General features: G+C 42.8%; 1 protein-coding gene and 1 pseudogene across 13 annotated transcripts in view, besides 3 other annotated features; one reads left to right on the forward strand and one right to left on the reverse strand.

Annotated features, from left to right (window-relative positions):
* Positions 438 to 527: an enhancer, noted in NCBI's record as "active region_5509". NCBI's record gives its function as "activates an Ori minimal core promoter by ATAC-STARR-seq in GM12878 lymphoblastoid cells {active_cell/tissue: GM12878}" and the evidence as "EXISTENCE:reporter gene assay evidence [ECO:0000049][PMID:35858748]".
* Positions 748 to 967: an enhancer, noted in NCBI's record as "active region_5510". NCBI's record gives its function as "activates an Ori minimal core promoter by ATAC-STARR-seq in GM12878 lymphoblastoid cells {active_cell/tissue: GM12878}" and the evidence as "EXISTENCE:reporter gene assay evidence [ECO:0000049][PMID:35858748]".
* RNU2-60P (RNA, U2 small nuclear 60, pseudogene) lies at positions 3,628 to 3,755 on the forward strand (annotated as a pseudogene).
* BTG4 (BTG anti-proliferation factor 4) overlaps positions 4,362 to 21,402 on the reverse strand; it is a 130,900-nt gene continuing 113,859 nt past the window's right edge. For 6 of the 13 annotated variants that reach the window (XM_024448589.2, XM_024448591.2, XM_024448592.2 and 3 more), the window contains 2 exons: positions 6,790 to 6,828; positions 5,270 to 6,666 (listed from right to left, as the gene is read on the reverse strand). In XM_024448589.2, coding sequence (XP_024304357.1) covers positions 6,588 to 6,666; positions 6,790 to 6,828 — 118 coding nt within the window. In that variant the 3' untranslated portion in view covers positions 5,270 to 6,587. Of the gene's footprint in view, positions 4,845 to 5,269; positions 6,667 to 6,789; positions 6,829 to 17,333; positions 17,580 to 18,115; positions 18,308 to 19,633; positions 19,779 to 21,402 lie in introns of those variants that run through there. The other 7 variants (XR_947835.3, XR_947834.3, XR_947852.3 and 4 more) reach the window with 7 other exon arrangements.
* Positions 20,151 to 20,370: an enhancer, noted in NCBI's record as "active region_5511". NCBI's record gives its function as "activates an Ori minimal core promoter by ATAC-STARR-seq in GM12878 lymphoblastoid cells {active_cell/tissue: GM12878}" and the evidence as "EXISTENCE:reporter gene assay evidence [ECO:0000049][PMID:35858748]".

Genomic DNA, 21,402 nt, shown 5'->3' on the forward strand with positions numbered 1-21,402 from the left:
CAACAGCGCAGCGCGGGCAGCCACAGCCTGCACCGGCCCCGCGGGGACCTGCTGTGTGTGGGTGTGAAGGTGGTGTGGGGCAAGCTGTGGGAACCCCGTGTCAAGCCCTCCCCAGGCCAGTGATGAGCCCAAAAGCTCCTCTGGAAAACGTTGATCTTTGCACGGCGCCCATGCAGGCTTCCAGGCCACCAGGGCATGGGCAGGACTCAGCCCGCCATGGGCGCCTGCTCAGCGGGAAATGCGATTCCCAGGGGTCACTGGTTCTCAACTGGGAGGAAACACCTGTCATCTCTTCAAGCCTCAGTAAACAACCTCCTCATTCTTTCAATATTGCTTTTCTGTTTATTCCATTTTGAAACACAGTAGCCCCTCCCCTCGCCCCCAGCCACCCCCAAAATGGCAAGGCTTAATCATGCTGAAATATGGGGGCGCTGGCTCTGATGTCGGCTATGCCCACGGAAAAAGAGGCCAACCCTCAAGGAAGGAAGGAGAACATGCCCGTGCTCTTTGACTGGATCTGGGCTTGTAGGCACAAGATGAACAGAGCCTCTTTGCGAGTGCCCACCCACTGATAACAGGAAGCTTCTTTAAGTAAGTCATGGGCTCACCATCTGGAAGTGTAGATGGTGTTGGCTACCGGTTCCTTCACAGTTTGGAAGCCTTCTGCCACTGCATATCTGAGGTCCACATGCTCAGGCTCCAGGGACTCAGTCAGTTTGGGGTCAAGACCCCTTGGCACACCCCCTAGAGCAGGTGTGGGGCCTTGCTGCTCTGCCATCCATACTGCCTCAGAGCCATCTTGCACCACCTAGACCTGATCATGCTATCCCCTAGCCTACAAAGCATTCACCTTCTCCCTTCAGCCACAGAGCTGGAGGCCTAGAAGGCCTCCCACAATCGAGCCGTTGCCTTCCTTTCCAGCCTCACCACCAACTGCCCTCCTACCACTGGTCCCAGTGCCCTCTAAGCACCACCAAACACCCATGCAATTCCCTGCCTTTGACCTTGCCGTCCTCTCTTGCCGGAAGGACAAACCCCCAGCCCAGAGAATACTTGTTCGTCTTCTCAGATCTTAGAGCACTTTGTTCATTATGTGATGGTGAATTGTCACATGACTCTGACAGTTTCTCAAGGAGGTTTCATCTTTGCCTCTCCAGTGCCCCACACAAGACCTGGAGCATAGTGACCCCCAATAAAAATTCATCTGATAAAGTTATGAATTACTGTCTCTAATCGGTTGCTGATTTGAGGGCAGGTCTTGAGGAGAAATGCTGTCAACATTTTATAAATGATTCACTTAAAAGCCAGAGAAGGCTGTCTCCTGGCTGCCTATAAGCCCTCCCCGCAAAGCCTCTGAAGTTCAGGACAGTGGAGGCCCCCATGCTGTGGTGGCTGGCAGCCCACACCCTGGCCTGGCAGGGGGCAGCATCTCAAGGCCTTGGGCTGCGCCAAGGAGTTTCCATGAGAAACAGAGGCACATCCCTCAGGCCTGCCTCAGTCACAGGAGACGTGGGTTCCCATGAAGGCTCTGACACTCACTCACTGTGTCCCCTTCAACAAGTCACATAACTCTTCTAGCCTCAGTTTCCTCATCTATAAAATGAAGAACCAGTTCTGTGAGTGTCTCACAGGTTCGTAGGAGGATATGTGGCCTCGCTGGTCCTCTCTCCCACGGGTCTGTCTTTTGTCTCTTTTGGTCATGTCTTATTCTCTCCAAGTCCGTGAAATTCAGAACTTTTTCTTATTCATCTCAGTTTCTCCCCACAGGCCTAGCATGATGATTTCCACAAAGTAATAATATAACCACTTACTGTGCAAGAGGCTCCATGTTAAGCCTTAAATACATTACCTAATCTAGTCACCACAACAACGCTGCAAGGAAACGTCTACCTGTATTGTTCAGAGAAACAAACAAATGCTTAGGGAATTTCATCTGTCCAATGTCACCAAGCTATCAGGTTATAGGCTGGTGCCAGACCCAAGTTCATCTGACTAGAGCCAGAGCTCTAAATCATTAAAATAAAAGATATTTATTAAGTTGAAAGCAGTAAATGCCAAGTGTCAGCCATGTTTGTTAGTAGTAATATAGGATCATTATTATTAAAACCTGAAGCAGATCAACAGAAGCTATATCCCCCGGAATAAATTTCTGTCCTCTGGAAAGAGGGAAGGAAAAGGTGAGACCCAGAGCTACTCTGACAAATCAGATCTTGTACAGTGGCAGAAAAACAAAATGTCAGTGGGCAAGCCCACCATCATGGCCAGCGATAAACCCATCACCTCTTATGGCCTCACAGCTCATGAGGCAGATTCCAGCTCATTTCTTCCAGCAAATACCCTGCATATCAGTGACCACATACAGGCAGATGCTTTGGAATCAAGACTTGATCGAAACAGCAAATATTTTCCAGGAAAACATTTTCTGTGACTTAGAATCAAAAGTCAAACTGCATGGCATAGTTCAAAAGAGGCGACTATGTTTATGCAATGTCTCAAGAAGTGGAAGAAAAGAAGAAAAAATCTGTGAACATGGTCCAGATGACTCCAAATACAGGTGTGCTCACATTTTTAAAGAATCTGATATACAAACATCAAAACTTCTAAAATAATTTATTAAAGCGCACTGATTCATATTGTGAAATAAATTTTAGCTTTGCAAAAAGATTCACCATCGACTTCATTTCTTCCATCATTTAATAAATATTTACAGAGTGCTTATTACATGTCATTACCTCTGCCAAGTCTTAATCTTTTCTTTTCATTTAGCCTTTAATCATCTTCATTCTCATCATTTTTGATTTATGAAAAGCCCCTATCTTATTTTGCTCAGTAATTTATTTATTCATTCATCTACTTTCCCCCTCATTTTCCATGTCTATTCTTTTTCCTGTCCCCTCATACCCCCATCACCCACCCACCATTCCAATCAGGGCAACTCTTTTCAGTGGTTGATGCTGAAGCTTTTATTTGTAGACATTTGTGCCTGTTCTTATAAGATCTGTATTGTTTGGCATGTATAGATTTTTAATTTATGTAGGTGATGTTATATTACACATTTCACGCTGTTTCTTATTTTTTAATTCAGCACAGTGTTGTAAGATCTATCCACATTGATGTAGACATTCTGTGCACCACTTTTAACACCTGCAAAGTATTCTATGGTGTGTGAGCGCTGCATTTCACTTAAGCAGATTGTCTCCAACTTCCTCTTCCACAAACAAAGCATTGATGAACATTCTTATATGCATCTTTTTTCAGAGGCATGTGAAAATTTCATTGAGGTTATATGCCCAGAGGTGGAATTACTGGGCCAAAGAATAGGTGTATATTTAATCTGACTGAATACTAATCTGTCCAAGACTTCCACCAGCAGTTCATTTTTCCACCAGCTTCTCATATTTCCACTTTACCACCAAACCTGACATTATCCAAGGTCTAAATGTTGCCAGTGTGGTACATGTAGTGATAGCAACAGTGTAGTGTGTGTGTGTGTGTGTGTGTGTGTGTTTTAGTGTAATAGTGTAGTGATAGTGTAGTGGTTTATTTTACATTATAATACTAATAAATGGAAGCATGTCTTCATATGCATGTTAACCCTATGGAGTTTCTCTTCAAAATACCTCTTCAATCACCTCTTGGCCTTTTGGCTAAGATCAAGTGTAGTATTTGTTCTTGCCAGTTTAAAATGTCTGTTCATTCCTTTGCCAATTTCTGTACCAGGATTGCCCTTTTTCTTGTTGATCAGCAGAAATTCTTTGCACATCTGTGTTCTAGATGTACAATTCTAGATATTTTCAGTTTTACTCAACACAAATTTCTTCACTCTTGTCATCTGCTAACTTTATTCATAGTGTGCTTTTTTTGAATAGAAATACATACTTTAGGTACATGGACCTATTTTATTTTACTGGTCTCGTTGTTCTTGTACCTTAGTTTTTATTGTTATTTATTATAGTACAGCTTAAATTTTTCAGATAAGTCTATCAAGTTCCTCAAAAAATTCCAGCCAGCATGGTGGCTCATGCCTGTAATTCTAGCACTTTGGGAGGCCGAGGCAGATGGATCACCTGAGGTCAGGAGTTTGAGACCAGCCTGGCCAACATGGCGAAACCCTGTCTCCACTAAAAATACAAAAATCAGCTGGGCATGATGGTGGGCACCTGTAATCCCAGCTACATAGAAGGCTGAGGTGGGAGAATAGCTTGAACTCAGGAGATGGAGGTTGCAGTGAGCCGAGATCGCACCACTGCACTCCAGCCTGGGTGACAGAGAGAGACTCCCCAGCACCCCCCCCAAAAAAAACACTGAAATTTTTATTGGTTTTCATTGAATTTGTAGATTACTTCAAGCAAGAGTAATATCATTATAAAATTAATTTGGTCCAGCTGAGCATGGGACAGCTCTCCATCTCTTCAGATCATATTCCATGTTTTTTATTATTACAGTTTTTAAATTTTCTCCGCAGAAGTACAGTATATTCTTAAATAAGCTAATTCTCAATTATGTTATAGTTTCTGTTGATATTGTGAATGGCATCTTGTTTTTTATATAATTTTCTAGTTGGTTAGTGATGCTATAGAAAAATTCTAATATTTGAGAGTTTATCTTATTTCTAGAAACCTTGCTGAACTGTTTTATTTATTCTAATAGTTTGTTGGTTATCATAGTCTTTCTAGGTAGAAGACAATCTCTTCTGAAAGTAACGGCAGTTTTATTTTTTCCCTTCCGATTCTTCCATCTCTTGTTTTTTTCCTTTCCTATGGTGTTGGCCAGTACTATGACAAGTAATAATGCTAATAGTGGTTATTCTTGCCCTGTCCTTGTCTTACAGAAATGACAAATTCCTAAAATTAAAAAAAAAAGATGAAAAATCTTTGAAAGGCCTCATGGACAACAATAGAGATAAGGTAAAACAAACACTTGGATACGTTATAATGAAACTTTAAAACAACTAATACAAACAGGACATTCTAAAAGCTTACTAAGAAAAAGAATATATTTATAGCTAAGGAACAAGAATCAAAATGACAGTATACTTTTCCACAGCAAAACTAGATGCAAGCGGATAATGAAGAAATATTTTTAAAGTATTTAAGAAAATGAACACTGAACCTATAATTTTAAATCTAGCCAAATTGTCATTCAAATATTGTAGCTAATGAAGATGTCTTCAGACCTACAAGACTCCCATTAAAATTGCTCTTAGAGAAAGCATTCAAATGAAAAGAGTGACTCAGGAGGATGTTGCAAGAACTATGAGAGCAAAAGGTAATCAAATACTGGGTAAAGTTTATTATAGGAATTTTCTTAAAGCTGGGAAAAGGAGAAAATTCATCCATAACAACACAAAACAAAATATCTTTAAAATAACATGATTACACAAGTCCAGAGAACACCATTTATATTATATTTAATTTTCCAAAATGTGGCCCTTAAGGAGATCAAAGAGAAATCAAAATGCACTAATGCTTTCGTTTTCTAAGGAGAAAATATAGCTATCAATAAATTTAAGAAATCAATAGGGACAAATAAACATAAAAGTGGATCTGAAGGACAAATAAACATAAAAGTGGATCTGAAGTAGGAGGCAACTGCCACTTTTGTTCTTATTACAAAAAAAAATTTTTTTATAACAAAAAATAAAACAAAAGTTAAACTTTTAAACATTCTGTTTAACTTTTTCATAAATGATGTGTTAAACATTCTGTTTAACTTTTAATGTTTCAAAGTTTAGCTTTTAAATTTTAAACATTTAACTTTTGAGCATTCTGAGAGAAACTGAATCTTTCTGTGAAAAACAGGAAGGATGTATTTAAAAATTACAATGAATGGAAAACAGGAATAAGTTGGCAGGATAGGTTCAACTAGCTCAGTAATGATAATGAATTTAAGAAGATTAAACTCACCAATTAAAAGACAGATTTCTGCATTTAATTTAAATTACTTTAAAGAGCCAATCATGTAAACTTGATTCTAAAACTAAATAAGGTCAATATAAGAAAAGAAAATTATAGGCCATCTAATTTGTGAACATCGATTCAAAAATCCTGAACAAAATATTTGCTTGCTGAATTCAATAGTATATTAAGGACTAATACATCATGATATAATAATAATATATTATAATATGTAAGATTTATCCCAGGAATGCAAGGATGGTTTATTCTTAGAAAACCTATCAATATAATTCACCACATTGATAAACTTTAGGAGAAAAATTATTAAAGTATCTCAATCAAATATCTAAACATTTGATAAAGTCCAACATCTATTTGTAATTTAAGAAAAATAACTCTTAGAAACTTAGGACTAGAAGGAAACTTCCTTAACTTGATAAAGTTTATATGCCAAAAATCTAGAGTGATGTTATACATAATAGGGAAATTGTAAACAAATTCCCTTTAAGAACGAGTTGCTGGCCCAGTGTATTGGCTTACACCTGCAATCCCAGCACTTTGGGAGGCCAAGGTGGGAGGATCGCTTGAGCCCAAAAGTTCAAGACCAGCCTAGACAACATAGTGAGACCCCATTTCCACAAAAAAATTTAAAAATTAGCCAGGCATGGTGGCATGTGCCTGTAGTCCCAGCTACTTGAAGGTGGAGGTTGGAGGATTGCTGGAGCCCAGGAGGTCAAGGTGAGCTGTAATCGTGCCACTGCATTCCAGCCTGAGCAACAAAGAACAAGTTGTCCTATTGCATTTTCATAATTAATTTCCAAACATTTTTTACACACAATTTTACACATAATTTTTTGTATATAGGACACAAAAAATAAAACATATAACTTACATCATGTAATTGTGCCAAGTTCTATTCCAGGCTTTAGGGCTATAACAATGAAAAAAACAGAAATGTTTAGTATCATATAGCTAGACACCTGGTGTTAGATAGAAAGAAAATTCATACGACCTTTCAATAAATGATTTGTCATCAACTCAGACATGGACTAGTGCATAGAAAAATTGATGGCCTAGAGGCTCAACAACCTCTAAACTATGAAGATTTTCTATGGCCCAGAAATTCAGGGCAGTTTGTAAAGTCAGACTTATAGAGGATTTCTTGACCCTACAGATGGGAGCAGAAGAGAGGACCAGGGTGATTTTAAAGGAGGGCCATGAATCCTGTGTGTATATACATATTTTCCTTGGAAGACAGTTCATAGCGTTCATGAGAGTCTCAAGGTTAAGAACCACTGTTTATTATAGAGAAATACTATGATATCAAATTTTAAATATATAAAAGATAAGTTGCTTTAGGTCCAGTTAGGACAGTAATGGGCTCCGAGGTAAAAAGGGTAATCCACAGGTAAAATACCGAAGCCCATTGTTGCCTTCAGGCAATTTCCCACATATTCTTTACATAGTGAGCCAGCTAAGCCCATTTCTCATTTCTCTGGCACATGTATATCATTTCATTCTTATGCATAATTTCCCTCTGGGTTAGGCAGCAGGATATAGTGAAGAGATTATGTAATTTAGAGTCAGAGAGCCTGGTTTGGAATCTGGCTGCAGTGCTAGCAGTGTGGCCTTGGTCACATTGTTTAAACTCTCCTAGCTTTAATTTCCTCCTCTTCCAAGTTGAAATAATAATAGTAACTGTTGCATTGATAGGCTAGTATAGAGTTTTCTACATACGCTAATTTTATTGTACCATTCAGATCAAGAGAATATATCACTGAATTCTCTTTCATATCTTTGCTCTCAAAATTCATGCACACTAGTGAGCCCTTCAAACTTTACCAATTTCTAGTTTTCCAAGAAAAGATCATGCCCTGCTACCCTTATCTGAAGAAGCAGTAAGATTCAAACCACCTCTCATCTTCTCAAGTTCCCAGACATCATCTGCAAATATGGTTGACAGCTGGATGGCAGGTTCTTATCTAGGAAGAGGCCTAATCATTGGAATTTTAGTTTTATTGTGCCTTCAATAATTAGACATTGTGACTAGGCACAATGAAAAGGAAATCATATTCATGTGATCAAATAGAGATTGCATCAACCCAAGTGGCGCCTGGACGAGTGCCAGTGTTCAGAAGCCAGGGCTTTACTGTGTGTGACAGCCTGGCCTCCACAGCAGGCTGGAAGGTGCCCAACTCTCTTTATGACCATTTCTGAACTCCTTCTGGTACTAGACAGATGGCCTCTAGCCACTCTGACAAACTTGCATTAATACAGGCAGCTGGCAAGTGTCCATGCCCCATTTTGCAGATGAGAAAACCAAGGACCAGGTAGCTTTAATTATTATCTATGGCCTGAGACTGCCATAAATGATCTTGGAAGATAATCAAGAAAGCCTGATAGTTATTACTTTTGGTGCTATTATGTCATGGAGCTTGGGGGAAAAATAGTCTTTGCAAAAAGAATATGTTTCTGGGCTATTCTACTCACCATGTGGTCTGTCCAAGGCACAGAGACCTTTTTTTTTTCTTCTTTGCCATTACTGAGCACCACACACTGAACAATGGGCTTTATTTGACAGTTTTGCCTCCATATTACCAACATTATTTTTCCCCACTTCCCACACAGTCAGTGGCCACCTTTAAGAAATATTTTCCATGATACTTCTAAAAATACTTATTGAGCACAAACTTTGTGCTGGAAATAATGTTAGGGATAACAAGGTAAGAAAGTCCCTATGCTCAAGCAAGTTATTGCTGGTATGAAAAACCTGATATATTTTTCTTATAACTGAAAGTCCCACAAGAATTCCTAGAGAATTTCCATCTAAATTACATGGGATACTTACTATAAAGAGATATTCTTTGGGCCCCACTTGTAGAGAACCTGACTCAGTAGATCTGGAGTGGCCATGACTCAGTTGGTTGGTTGGTTGGTTGGTTGGTTGGTTGGTTGGTTGGTTTGGAGGTGTGTGTTTTTTTTTTTTTAATTTCATGTGACATTGCTTTGGGATTTTGGAAGCACAACCCTAGACAACCAAACACTAGTCCTTCCTTTTTTCTCATGATCTCCTTTTCTATCTATCCCCTTTCAAGTTTTCTTCATTGGAATGCCCCTAGAATGCCCTGATTACCAAGAAAAACAAAAGCCTCCAGCTTAAGTGTAGCATGGAACATCCTTTGTCTAGCTAAACACATAACCATCATTTCCCACAAACAGGAGGGATCTTGGCTTCACGCACGCCCCACACCCAGAAACAATCGCATTCCTGTGGTTCTCCCAAGGAATAGTGATCCAGTGACCCTATGACCTGGCACACACTCTGCCTGTCCAGGACTCAAAGCTCTCAGCCTCACTTCTTCTCTGTGCAGCATTTAAAAGCCCACAAGGGGCCAGAGCCCCCCAGAATTCATATATCGGGGATGCTGGTGGTTTGATCAATTACTGACCAATGCCCTGTTCCCCTTGAGCTAAAGGCTCAAAGGAGTAAAGTGAAAGGAGTTTGTCCAGTGATGGAGGTAATACTTGCCAATCATCCTTCTTTCTGAAGATGCCACACAGGAACCTCCTCCTCTTCCTCTTCCTGAAACTTTAAGCCCTCCAGTGACTCAGGAGTTTCACCAGGTGTATTTCATGATTTGTGCCAAAACACCATGAAAATAGGAATTACAATAAAGCCAAAGTCCATTTCCTTATGAATCAAAGGTGTAGTTTCCTATAAAAAGGAAAAGGATCCAACATGCGAAGGCAAGTCTATTTGCATGCATGCCATGCTCCTGGGCAACTTTCTGTCATGGGTGGAGCTATAGGGCTGGCAGCTGCACTGCTGTTTTTCAACTACCACTTCTGTAATTTGGTGGGAAAGTAACTTGAATAAATGAATGAATGAAGAGACAGAGAAAATGAAAACGAGATATAAATAGAAATGTCAGTGTAGGAAGAAAAAAGAGGAAAGAGTGAGAAAGAGATAACGACAACTCAAAATTTTAGACACCTTGAAGGTCCAAAAGAAAAAAAGAAATCTGCTTCCAAAGATAGAGCAGTCAATTCAATTAAGGATTAACTCTACCTGAGGCATTTGTTGGCCATAGTAACACTAGAGTGAGACTAATGAACAAAGTAAGCTAAGCCTGGCCTCAGTGAACCCAGAGACAAAGTCTGACATTCAGTCAATACCTGGGTATCCATGATCCGTGGTCCACCAAAGTGCACAATGCCCAGAATATAGAAAAGACTCTATAAATGGTAGCTAGTTCTGTTATTACTACTTTTTCATTAATAATGAATGTGACAGATTTTGACTTGAACCCAGTGTTGCTATCACTATCTGTGGGAGAAAATACTAATTTTCTTTTAGAAAAAGGTATAATAAATGTAACAGGTGCACAATAAATATAAACTGATCGGCATGAGTACGTTTTTCTTTTAAAAAAACTCTCTTAATTAATGTGTCCCACAACTAGACACAATCACACCATAAAAAAACAAAAGTGGAGGGAGGCAGAAGGAGATAAAACAACTCCAGGAGTTCCATGTGTGCCTTCCAGCTCACAAAGCCAACGAAAGCTAAGACTTCTGGAGCACTGATCATATAGCGAGGAACTGTTCTAAATACTTTACACATATTAGTTCATTTAATCTGCATAACAATGCTTTGAAGTATTAGCCTCATTTTACATATGAGGAAACACAGTGAGGTTAAGAAACTTGGCTAAAATGCACAGTTTATAAGTAGAAGAGCCAGGATTATAATCTGGGCAATCTGACTCCATAGCTTATAATCACCACATCACATTATTCCCCACAACATGCACACACACAAGAAAGTTAAGTCCCAAACAGCTGATCATTCATCCATCCATCCATTCATTCATTCATGCACTCATTCATTCAGCAAATATTTGCTGAATGTCATCCCACTGTCATCCAGTCTGTATTTGGCATTAAGGATGGAACAGTGAACAAGGAAAGTAAGTCTCCTGACTTCTTAGAGCTTACATTCCAGTGGAAGTGGGGAGAGGTAGAGGAGAGGCAGCCAGAACAAATATCTTCCCATCAGAACAAAGAAAGCAGTGGGTCATAAAGTATCTTTCAAAATCAACATCTTGGGCACATTCAGAAAAGCATTTCTAAAAACCCAGCTAAGGGATAAAGATAAAAACTATCAATGGCATCCAACCTAGATATTCTACATGCAACAAATTCAAGAAATATCAGTTGAACACCAGCCAATGCCCTCACAATAACAAAGTAAGAACTGAGCTCAGGGAGCCCTAAGCTCAGTCACACCACAGGAAGTGGGCACTAAGGCTCTGGTGGGCTTTCCACTCTGCGACAGAGACAGAAGGTTTTTTAAGAGTCCAACAGGACTCTGAGCATCTTGACTCTCCCTCTTTCTTCGAAGCCTTCCAGTCCCACTTGAACATCTCATGATGCAACTCAGACCATTTATCTTCCCAAAACAAGGCAACCATTTTGCACCAGTTGAGGCAGACTTCACAGGCAGATGCACAGACTCCAAAGCAAAGTTCCAGGCAGATTGCTAAGCTGACTCAGACCCACCTCCGATGGAGTTTGGATGGCCCAATTTATTAAATGATGCCAAGCCCTGGATTGCAGAAAATTTGGCAGACTTCTGGTGCAAGGAAGCACCTTAGGTTTCTTTCGTAACCAGCAAATTTGGCATAAAAACAGTAATAGAGTATGTGCTCGATAAAGTCTCATTGATTAATTGATAACAGTTCCTTTACTCTTTTTCAGGGGTAGACAACCATATAGACATCAGTGGCTGCATCTGAAGTTGGAGAGCAAGTTCTCCAGCCCAACTATGTTAACGGCAGTCATCAAGCCCCAGGGACCCTATTCAGGATGCTGGTTTTTGAAGACAATGGCCCCAGTTGCTGCGACAAACTCCAAACTCATACTGTTCAGAGTCTTGAGTCTTGAGCCAACACACCCATTTTCTGTCGCTCCAAATTTTTTGTAGGTTTTGAAATACAGGCAGGAATTTAGCCAGGTTTATCTAGGAGAAATGTCACGTGAGGCTCAAGGAAGTGTAGAGTTTTGCCAAATGTTACATGAGAATCCTAGTCTTTTCTTTTTTTAGCCACTGGACTCAGGTTACGCAGAACCTAGAACCTCTGCTGGCCGGGACTTCTTCCTCCTCGCCATCCTACAGGCCTGGGCGGCACAGGCGGAGTTATGCCTGAGGCCTCTCACATTTCCAAGGATCACAAGCAGCTTGGAATTGTGTTCCATCTCTCTGGTCCTTGGAACTGTGTTCCAAGCTGCTTGTGATCCTTGGAAATGTGTTTCCAATTGTGTTCCATTTGTGTTCCTTTGGGAAAGTATGGGCAATAGGGAGCCATGGAAGGTTTTTCACTGAGGAGTGACGGGGTCATAGTCACGCTTCTTTTAAAAGTGGCTTTGGCAACAGTGTGAAGATAAATTAGAGTTAGGAGAAAGGGTGGGAGGTTAGAGAGAGTCTTTCTAACAATTGTTTCAGCAAGAATTAACTACGGTTGAAACTGGAGTGGTAACCACAGATGATCCCAAGCCACCTGGCTCTCATTGCGTTCCATTCTGAAAGCTTCGTGTCTCTGCATTCTCGGAATCAGTCACACAGTAAGCACTCAATAAATGTTTGCTGGATTAATGAAAAGTGAATAAATCTAGAGTGAGCCCTTCATTTTTAAAATGAGGAAATAGGACCAGAGAGATGAAATTACCTGCCTATGGTTACCTAGCTAGGCAAGGGCAAAGATAGACCTAGAACCTAGCCTCCAGCTTCCCTTTTCCTGTGATTTTCTTTTTTTTTTTTTTTTTTTTTTTTTTGAGACGGAGTCTTGCTCTGTCACCCAGGCTAGAGTGCAGCGGCACGATCTCGGCTCACTGCAAGCTCTGCCTCCCGGGTTCATGCCATTCTCCTGCCTCAGCCTCCCAAGTAGCTGGGACTACAGGCACCCACCACCATGCCCAGCTAATTTTTTGCATTCTTAGTAGAGATGGGGTTTCACCGTATTAGCCAGGATGGTCTTGATCTCCTGACCTTGTGATCAGCCCGCCTCGGCCTCCCAAAATGCTAGGATTACAGGCATGAGCCACCGTGGCTGGCCTCTAGTGATTTTCAAACTTTGTCATGCATCCAAATCACCATTCCCAGGGTTTCTGATTTGGTAGGTCCAGGACAGGGCCAGAGGACTTGCATTTCTAACAAATTCCGAGGTGATGCTGAGGCTGCCGGTCCAGGGATCACATGTGAGAACCACAGCCTTATCTAGTTCTCTTCTATAACACCTAGCTATCTTGCTCAGAAAGCAGGGCCTCACCTGGCTCCTTCATCCCTCACTGCTTGGCTCTGAGTTTTTGGGAGAATAGACATTCCAGCCTGCACAGTGGTAACATAGTTTGCTAGCTAAGAGCCCAGACCTGCGAGTCAAGTGCCTGGGTTTGATCCTGCCGCCACCAACCTTGTCTCCTCTGGGTATGTACATTATAGAATTCTTGTGAGGGTTAGATTATTGGATGTGTGTAAAACAGTACAACAGTGCCTGGCAAATAGTAAGCACCCAAAAGGGATAGCCATTCTTGCAATCACGGATAGGCTTGAGCCTGGGCCCTGAGGGGAGTCTTATGGTACTGCCTGAACTACAGAGAGGAGTGAGAATATGCCACAGAGTGATGACAGATTATACCATATCGTCACCTAGATTCATGAACATACAATACACATCAACAATGAGTGCAAAGATTGCTAGGAGGGATAGCACTGTGGGCTGATGCTATCTGGATCTCCCCCAAGTTTCCTCCAAATCCACTGTTATCATGGATCTCTTATTACTCTGAGTCAAGGAACCGGATTACTAAATCACAGTTTGTAAATTACGATGAGTCACTTTATCTAATCTAGACGGTCATATGCACTCACCTCTCAGAGGCTGTGATGTCAGCTTGGACAGATTAGAGCATCCAAAGCAAAGGGCAGCATTGAAACACCTGTTCCTTGCAGCCCTCCACACCCTCAGGCAGCAGCAGCAGCACCTGACTATGGTGCACAGAACCCACGGGTGCCTGAGAAGGACACACTGAAGACCGGTGGTAGCTGAGTTCAGGTCTCCAGGATGCTGGTTGCCCAAAGAACTGTATACTTTGAAATCTACTACTCTAGTCCCAAATACAGGATGCACCATCATGATTTCCTCTTTAGCCACTCTCAGGGTTGGGAACAGCTGGGAAGAGGTTGCAGAGAAAAGCCAGGAGGAAAAACTCCCCAGTTACTAAAGCAAAACCAGAGTGTTGAAGGTCTAGCATGAGGAGGAGAGGGAGATGCTCTAGGAGGGAAGGATGACTGACCAAGTGACATGACCTGTCCCCAAGCTCCACTTTATGCTGATTGAACTCTGGGAGCTCCACTACCCTTTGAAAAGCTTCATGCAAATGTGAACTTGAACTCTGCTCTTAGAAATACTCAGCACAGTTAAGACAAACTGGTACTGTCTAAAAAACTCCATAGCAAACAGCAATGAAGAATTTTATCTCTGGAATCAAATAGATCTGGGTTCAAATCTCAGGTCTACCTCTTAAAACTGTTACCTTGAGCAAAAGCACTTAATGCTCTGTGTCTTGATTTCATCACCTGTACGATACAGATACAAGAGTTCCTCACCAGGCTGTTACAAGGATCAACTCAGATACTGCATGAAAAGGCACATCATGAAGCCTCACAATAGTAGAGGACCAAGAAATGGCCATTGTATTACTAAGCACTGAACAAGAGAGAGCACACTAGGAATGACCCAGGGAACATTAGGCATGGGGAAGAAGTCAAGTTGATGAGTCCAGCTTTCTGAACTTGCGGTAGCCAGCCCATTCCTGTGGCTTGAAGTTCCTGCCCTTTCCATACTGATATGGTTTGGCTGTGTCTCCACCCAAATCTCATCTTGAATTGTAGCTCCCATAATTCCCACATGTTGTGGGAGGGACCCCATGGGAGGTAATTGAGTCATAGGGGCAGTTCCCCCCATACTGTTCTTGTGGCCGTGAATAAGTCTCACAAGATCTGACGGTTTTATAAGGGGAAACCCCTTTTGCTTAGTTCTCATTCTCTCTTGTCTGCCGTCATGTAAGACATGCCTTTGCCTTCTGCCATGATTGTGAGACCCCCCCACCAGCCACATGGAACTGTGAGTCCATTAAACCTCTTTTTCTTTATAAGATACCCAGTCTTGGGTATAGCTTCATCAGCAGCATGAAAACAGACTAATACACATACCCAGTGTGAAAATTAATGTCTGGTCCACCTCCACAGCCTCCTCATTTCTACTGTTTATCTCTATATGGGCCCACCTTGGCCTCCTCTTTAGACACTTGTGCCCAGCCCTGTGCCTGGTTTGAGAGACAGACCTCGTCTTTAAGTAACTGACACCAGGAAATCATCATCTGGTGATAAAAACGACTGCCACTTACCAAGATATGGTCCTATCTTTGTTGGCTTAATAGTCTCAGTAGAGTGGAAAAGCCTGAGATGCTCATAAAATCATTCATTCCACATATATAGATGGAGAATCTATGAGGTGTCATATCCATGAGTCCTCTCCCCCTCAGAAGCCATTTTATTAGAACGTATTCCCTCCAGCTCAGGGAATCTGGCTCCTGGATAGTGAGTCCATGAGGTGACTAAGGAAGAAGGCCAAATGGCCTGAAAATAGTGGAGAATTTTTTCCTGGAGCAGAGAGGGCAGTCCTCATCCACAACCAGGAAGTAGGGAAGAAATTGGCCCAGGCCAGGTGGGCTTGGCCATCCAGCAACAGCTCCTCCATCCTGAAGGCACCCAGGGGCTCTGCTGCAGGTGCGGTCAGGAGCTGTGCCAGGAGAGACCGGCCTGAGGTCCCATGTGGCTTCCTGCCTGGACAAACACGCCTCCACAGCCCCGGTGGACTGTCACCTCCGCAGGCCCCCTCAGGCAGCACTCACACTAGCCCATTGTTCTTCCTCCTGCTGGCAGTTCACTGGCTCCTGCTCCCATCCCTGCTCCCGGCAACCCCAGCAGAGCCTTGCATCCCAGCACTCCAGCAGAGTATGTACACACTGAGCAGGTCCTGGGATCAGCACCGTCACCCCTGTGGGTGTCCGAGAGTCAGGGACCTCCCCTATTTTAGGGACATGCCTTCAAGCCTGGTAGCAGGGACCAAAAGAGTATGTTATGAAAAGGCTGTTCAAATGACAAAGATTTTCAACTGGTTTCTACCAGCAGCATCCTTTTCTTTTTCAAATAAATTATTAAGCAGTTCTCCAAAATATAAAGCTGATACAAAAGCCCCAAATTCAGTGAAGAGGGAGCAGGTGGGGCCCACAGGCTGTCTTTGGGGTCTTCCCACTCCTTTGGCTTCCCTAGCCCTCAGTCCAGGCAGCCCCACAAGCATCTCCAGAGAACACACAGAGTTGGAGATGCGCTGCCCTAGGCAATGCCCCCTTTGAACTTACCCTGCAGACAAATGTCTTCCAGCCAAACTTAGAGGCACGCCTCCTGCATCACCTTGATCACTTTGCACAGCCCCTCAACCTGGTCCACCAGCCGGTGCAGCTATCTCGCAGAAGCCGCCCCGGAGGCATGCCTGCCTTCTCCAAGCCCAGCCCAGACCTGACGCTGCTGTTGCAGGACAGTTTCAGTCCCTGTGCCCCTCAACCTTCTCCTCAGCCCCTGCCCAGGATGGTGGCAGGTGGCCATCAAGTAGCAAATGATACTTGAGACTTGAGAGCAATTCAGAGCCAATGTCCCCTTCAGAGCAGTTGAACTCCTACATAAGAACAGATTTTCTCCATGCTAAGGGGCAAATAGTTGGCGCTTTGGGGATACAGATTTTAGAATGGTCCCTCCTGTTATATGTAACTTGTAAACTGCCTTGGCACTAGGTAACGTTCTGAAAACAAGTCACCGTGATTTCCAGGGTGACCAGCCAGGGTTATGGAAGGCCCACAGCACTCCCTGTCCCCTCTGCCCTTTCCAGGCCTCTCCCAAGTCAGCCCCATTTCCCTTCCCAACCAAGTCTACCCACATGCCCCCATTCTGCTGCAGTTCCAGCAGGTGCAGCAGAAAAGTGACCACTAATTACGATGGGAACATTCACTACCCCCTTGTTTTTTGTCAAAAGCTAGTGTGCTTTTCTGTTATGTCTGAGGGTCAGTCGACCTTCCCTGAAAATCAAGATAAATGTAACCACGAATGTGGATGCAACTACAAGGCCTAAGCTCATGCTATTCCCGCCCTCAATGTGTTCTCAGGCATGTGGGCCTGCCCACCTCCCAGCATCCTTCAAAGACTTGCCCAATACGTATACTTCCCTGAAATCATTTCTAACCCTCCTTTTACAGTGTTTATGATTCAATTCCTCACTTTTTGATAATTAATCGCATGTTGCTTGAATCTTCAATGAACAGTTAAGAGTTAAGAGTTTCTGTTTATTTTCATTATTCGATTGTTAGTTTCTTACAGGCAAGGACCAAGCCTTTCTGGAATCCTCCATGGTGCCCAGGAGTGTTTCATACTGTGGTTTGCCCACAGCTAATTTTCAATTAGTATAGGTTGATTTATTCATTGCCACTGGCTAGGAACAGTGTCGAGAACATATAAACTCTGAAGAGAGCTCTCATAGAGCTGTTTCATTCAAAGAAATGAAACTAGGGCTGAAAAAGAACATAAGATGAAGCACACATTTTAATCTTCTAATTTCTTAGTTCGTTTCCTATTTTCCCTAAGCAAACATTTGTAAATTTAATCCGTATGACACCCATCTCCTGACTGTCTCCAAATACCCACAATTCCTCCCCCAATCCACTTTCCAAATGCAGCCAAGAGATTTATGTTTTATGCAAATCTCTCATCTTCTTCCATGGCTTTAAATCCTTCAATTGCCCTTCCAATTGCCCTTAGGCCCCAGTCTAAATCCTTCATCTAACTTCCTAGGCCCTCTGGGAGCTGGGATGGCTGCCTTTCTAACCTCATTTCCTAACATATTCCCCCACACTTTCTAGGATCCAGCATATTCAGCTTGCAGTTCTTAAAATTTCCACACCAGGGTTTCTCTCTACTCCAGGCCTTCACACCAGCGCTTCTCTCTGTCTAGAATGTTCTTCTCCCCACCTTTTCCTTTACTTTCCTTCATCCCTTTGCCTGACTGATTCCTGTTCAATTTTCAGTTTTCAGATTAAACATCACTTACCCAGAGAGGACTTATCTGAGCCCCAGGTGTCAGCCAACTGGTAGGTGTTCACAGGGCATCTGTGTCTCCTCTTTAAGCGGGGGTAAGGGGCAGTATCTTCTCGCTGATTTGTTTTCCTTCTTACATCCTGAGGTTATAGACAGTGTCTCTTGTTCATTGATGTATCCCAATACTAAGAATAGTGCTTATTGACTAGAATTGAAATATCACCACATTTCAGCAGAACGTTCAGGAAATCTTTCTTATTTACGGTGTTTTCAGGCCATAAAGACACTACACTTCAAGTGATGCTTTGGGATCACTGTTTTTAAGATAAATGTACAGTTAAAGAAATACTGTGTGCAAGAGTTCCATGATCTCTAATTCAGTGTAATTTCTCTTAAATAAAATCATTAACTTCCCCTACCACAACCTTATCCTCTGCTTCTGCCCTGTCTACCACTCTCACTTGTAGTCTGTGGCTTGTGGGGCATGAGTGGAAAGAAGAGGGTAGTCACGACCACCATCACCACTACTAATTAGCCACTGTGTTGCTGCCGCTTTAGGTCAATCATCACTGTCTTTCCTACCGAAAGAAAAGGCTCCAACACTGCTGATCATCTGCAAGTCTGAGATAGCTTCAGTAGATTGACAAGCAATCAGAGATAGCTCTATATGTTCACAGAGCGGCCAACCATTGACCAAGTGTAGTTTCAGAGGACACCCCTGCCTTCCAACCACATTACTCCAAATCTTAACTAAAATGCCCCAGTAAGACCTTGGTCCTTTAGCCTAAAGCAGTTGTTTTCAAACTTTGGCATGCATCAGATTGCTAGGCCTCACCTCCAGAGTTTCTGATTCAGGAGGTCTCGTTCAGGCTGAAAATTTGCATTTCTTTTTTTTGTTTTTTTTTGAGACAGAGTCTCGCTCTGTTGCTCAGGCTGGAGTGCAGTGGCTCAATCTCGGCTCACTGCATGCTCTGCCTCCTGGGTTCACGCCATTCTCCTGCCTCAGCCTCCCGAGTAGCTGGGACTACAGGCACCCACCACCATGCCCGGCTAATTTTTTTGTATTTTCAGTAGAGACGGGGTGAAAATTTGCATTTCTATGTTCCAGGTGATGGTGCTGCTGCTGGTCTGGGAATCACACAGTGACACCTTCCCACTTAAACTAGGAATGGCTGTCAGGCCTGGTGGTGAGTGAGATTCACCTGTGGAGTTTTGTTTTTGTTTTTTTTTTTAACATTATAGAGTTTGAATGGGGCCCAGTCTTCTACATTTCATAAACGTATCATAAGTGATATTGCTGCAAGGCCAAGGTTGAGAACCATGTTTATCCCTATTTAAAAGCAATGATTCCTGTAAAGGTCTAATATTTTGACGTGGAGCTGGTGATTTACATGCTAGCATAAAAGAGTTATTGAGCTTTCCTGAGAGAGCTTAATGGTGGGAAAAGGCATGAATACTGAAGATCCTAGACCAAGAGGGATATGTGGATGAGGCACAACCCCAGAGGGAAACTGAGGCACCCAAACCTCACCTTTACTCACGTCACCACGTGGGTTGCCCAATCTGTGGAAGCCCCATGCAGGAGGTGCCCTTGAAGCCACAATTGTAGCCACTTCCTTGGAGGCTTTCATTACCTTTGGCTCTGCTTCCTGTAGGATCCCCAGCTGCGGCCAAGACTGTCCAAATGGGCAATGTGAAAAATCCAGCCAGTCAGATATTTTGACTGAACCCCTGGATACCACTTAGCCTCTGGCATGAGAAAGCTCTTCCCCGACCTCCTGTAAACTTCATCATCCAGGGAGACACTGGAAAGCATCCCCATATGAATTTGATCTTTGGACTCCTTTTGAACATAGGAGCCCAATGAGACTTTAAGCTTCATTCATTTCATGGGGAGAAATGACATATCTCCTGAGCAGAGCAAATTCAGCCAGATATTTACCCCTTCACTTTCTAGCCCCAGGGGAAGTGGGTGGTAGGGGGAAGGGGGCAATGTTTTTCCTGTTTCACCTCCCAAATGCAACCTGTGAGTCATATTGCCTCTTGAGAAGGTAAGACCTACTTGCTTAGTCCCTCCACAGTTTTAAGCGGGCTTGGTCTTCTAAGGGAATTGATCTCCTTGTTCCCGGGACAGCAGTCTCTGAGAGTGAACTCCAAATTTACTAGAGAACTTCCACTTTTAAACCACAGCATCTCCATCCTATAGCAGAGCCTGGCTAGAAGAGGTGTGGGACTTGCAGACCACAGCTGAGGTTGGTGGGATGGGATGCAGGGAAGTGACTGAAGACTGAGAGGTCCTTCTGCCCTCAGGGTGGCGGGTGTGAGCTGAGTGGGACTGAGGTGTGAGGGTATTTGCGATCCTGCATCATCCTAAGTATGGCCTGGATAGAGGCCTTATTCCTGATCTACAGAGAGAAATGGGAGGCCCTGGAGAAAGCCGGGATGGGTGAGGGTGGGGTGAGGGTGGAGTGAGGGGAGACAGTGTAAATCCCCTCTGTTACTGGGGAGGTCAGACAGGAATTTACAGCAAAAGAACCCTGAGAAGCAGGAGGCCCAGCCTCCCACTGACTGGCTGGGCAACCTCGGAAAAGTCATGCCGCCTCTCTGTGCCTCAGTTTCCTCATCTGTAAAGGGAGGATACCAGAGCAAATGATTGTGCCAAGACCTAGTGTTCTATGATTCTACAGTTATGTGAATTGAACTACTATTGAGTCTCTTATCTTAAAATACAATAGGCAGTTGCTAAAACTGCTTTCAACTGAGGAAAGCGTATTGCATCTGTAGTACTGGAGTTAATTTACAAATAACAAGAACTTTAGAACCCGCCAATGAAAATCCATCTCTCTCCTTCCCTCCCTCTCTCTGTATTGTACAGGCTCATGTTAAATGATGAAGAATGTTCTAAACAAAGTGCAGTACAAACATATTAAATGTCTGAACTTTAATATAGCATAACTTTAACATCACTTCAAAGGAAAATAATCTTATGATTCTTAAGCCCTTATTCCCAAAAACAAGACACATAAGTGAGGAAAACTCAAGAAGAAAGAAGCCTTCCTCTAGGAGATAGAGGTTAATCTCTCCCACTCCCATGTGAGCTGGTTAATGACTAGCTTCTAACAAAGAATATGTGAAGGGGAAGAAATAACCTCACCATGGAGAGACCTAGCAGACACCACCTTAACCAAGTGACCAATGTTAATGTCATCTGTGACCAGTCATGTTCATATCACATAGCCTTGACAGGATGTAGTGAGAAGCCTGCTTCACCTCTGTAGTAGTCTTTCTAAAAACCCATAG

This window comes from Homo sapiens, chromosome 11, assembly GCF_000001405.40.
Source record: "Homo sapiens chromosome 11, GRCh38.p14 Primary Assembly".
In the NCBI taxonomy this organism is placed as follows: domain Eukaryota; kingdom Metazoa; phylum Chordata; class Mammalia; order Primates; family Hominidae; genus Homo; species Homo sapiens.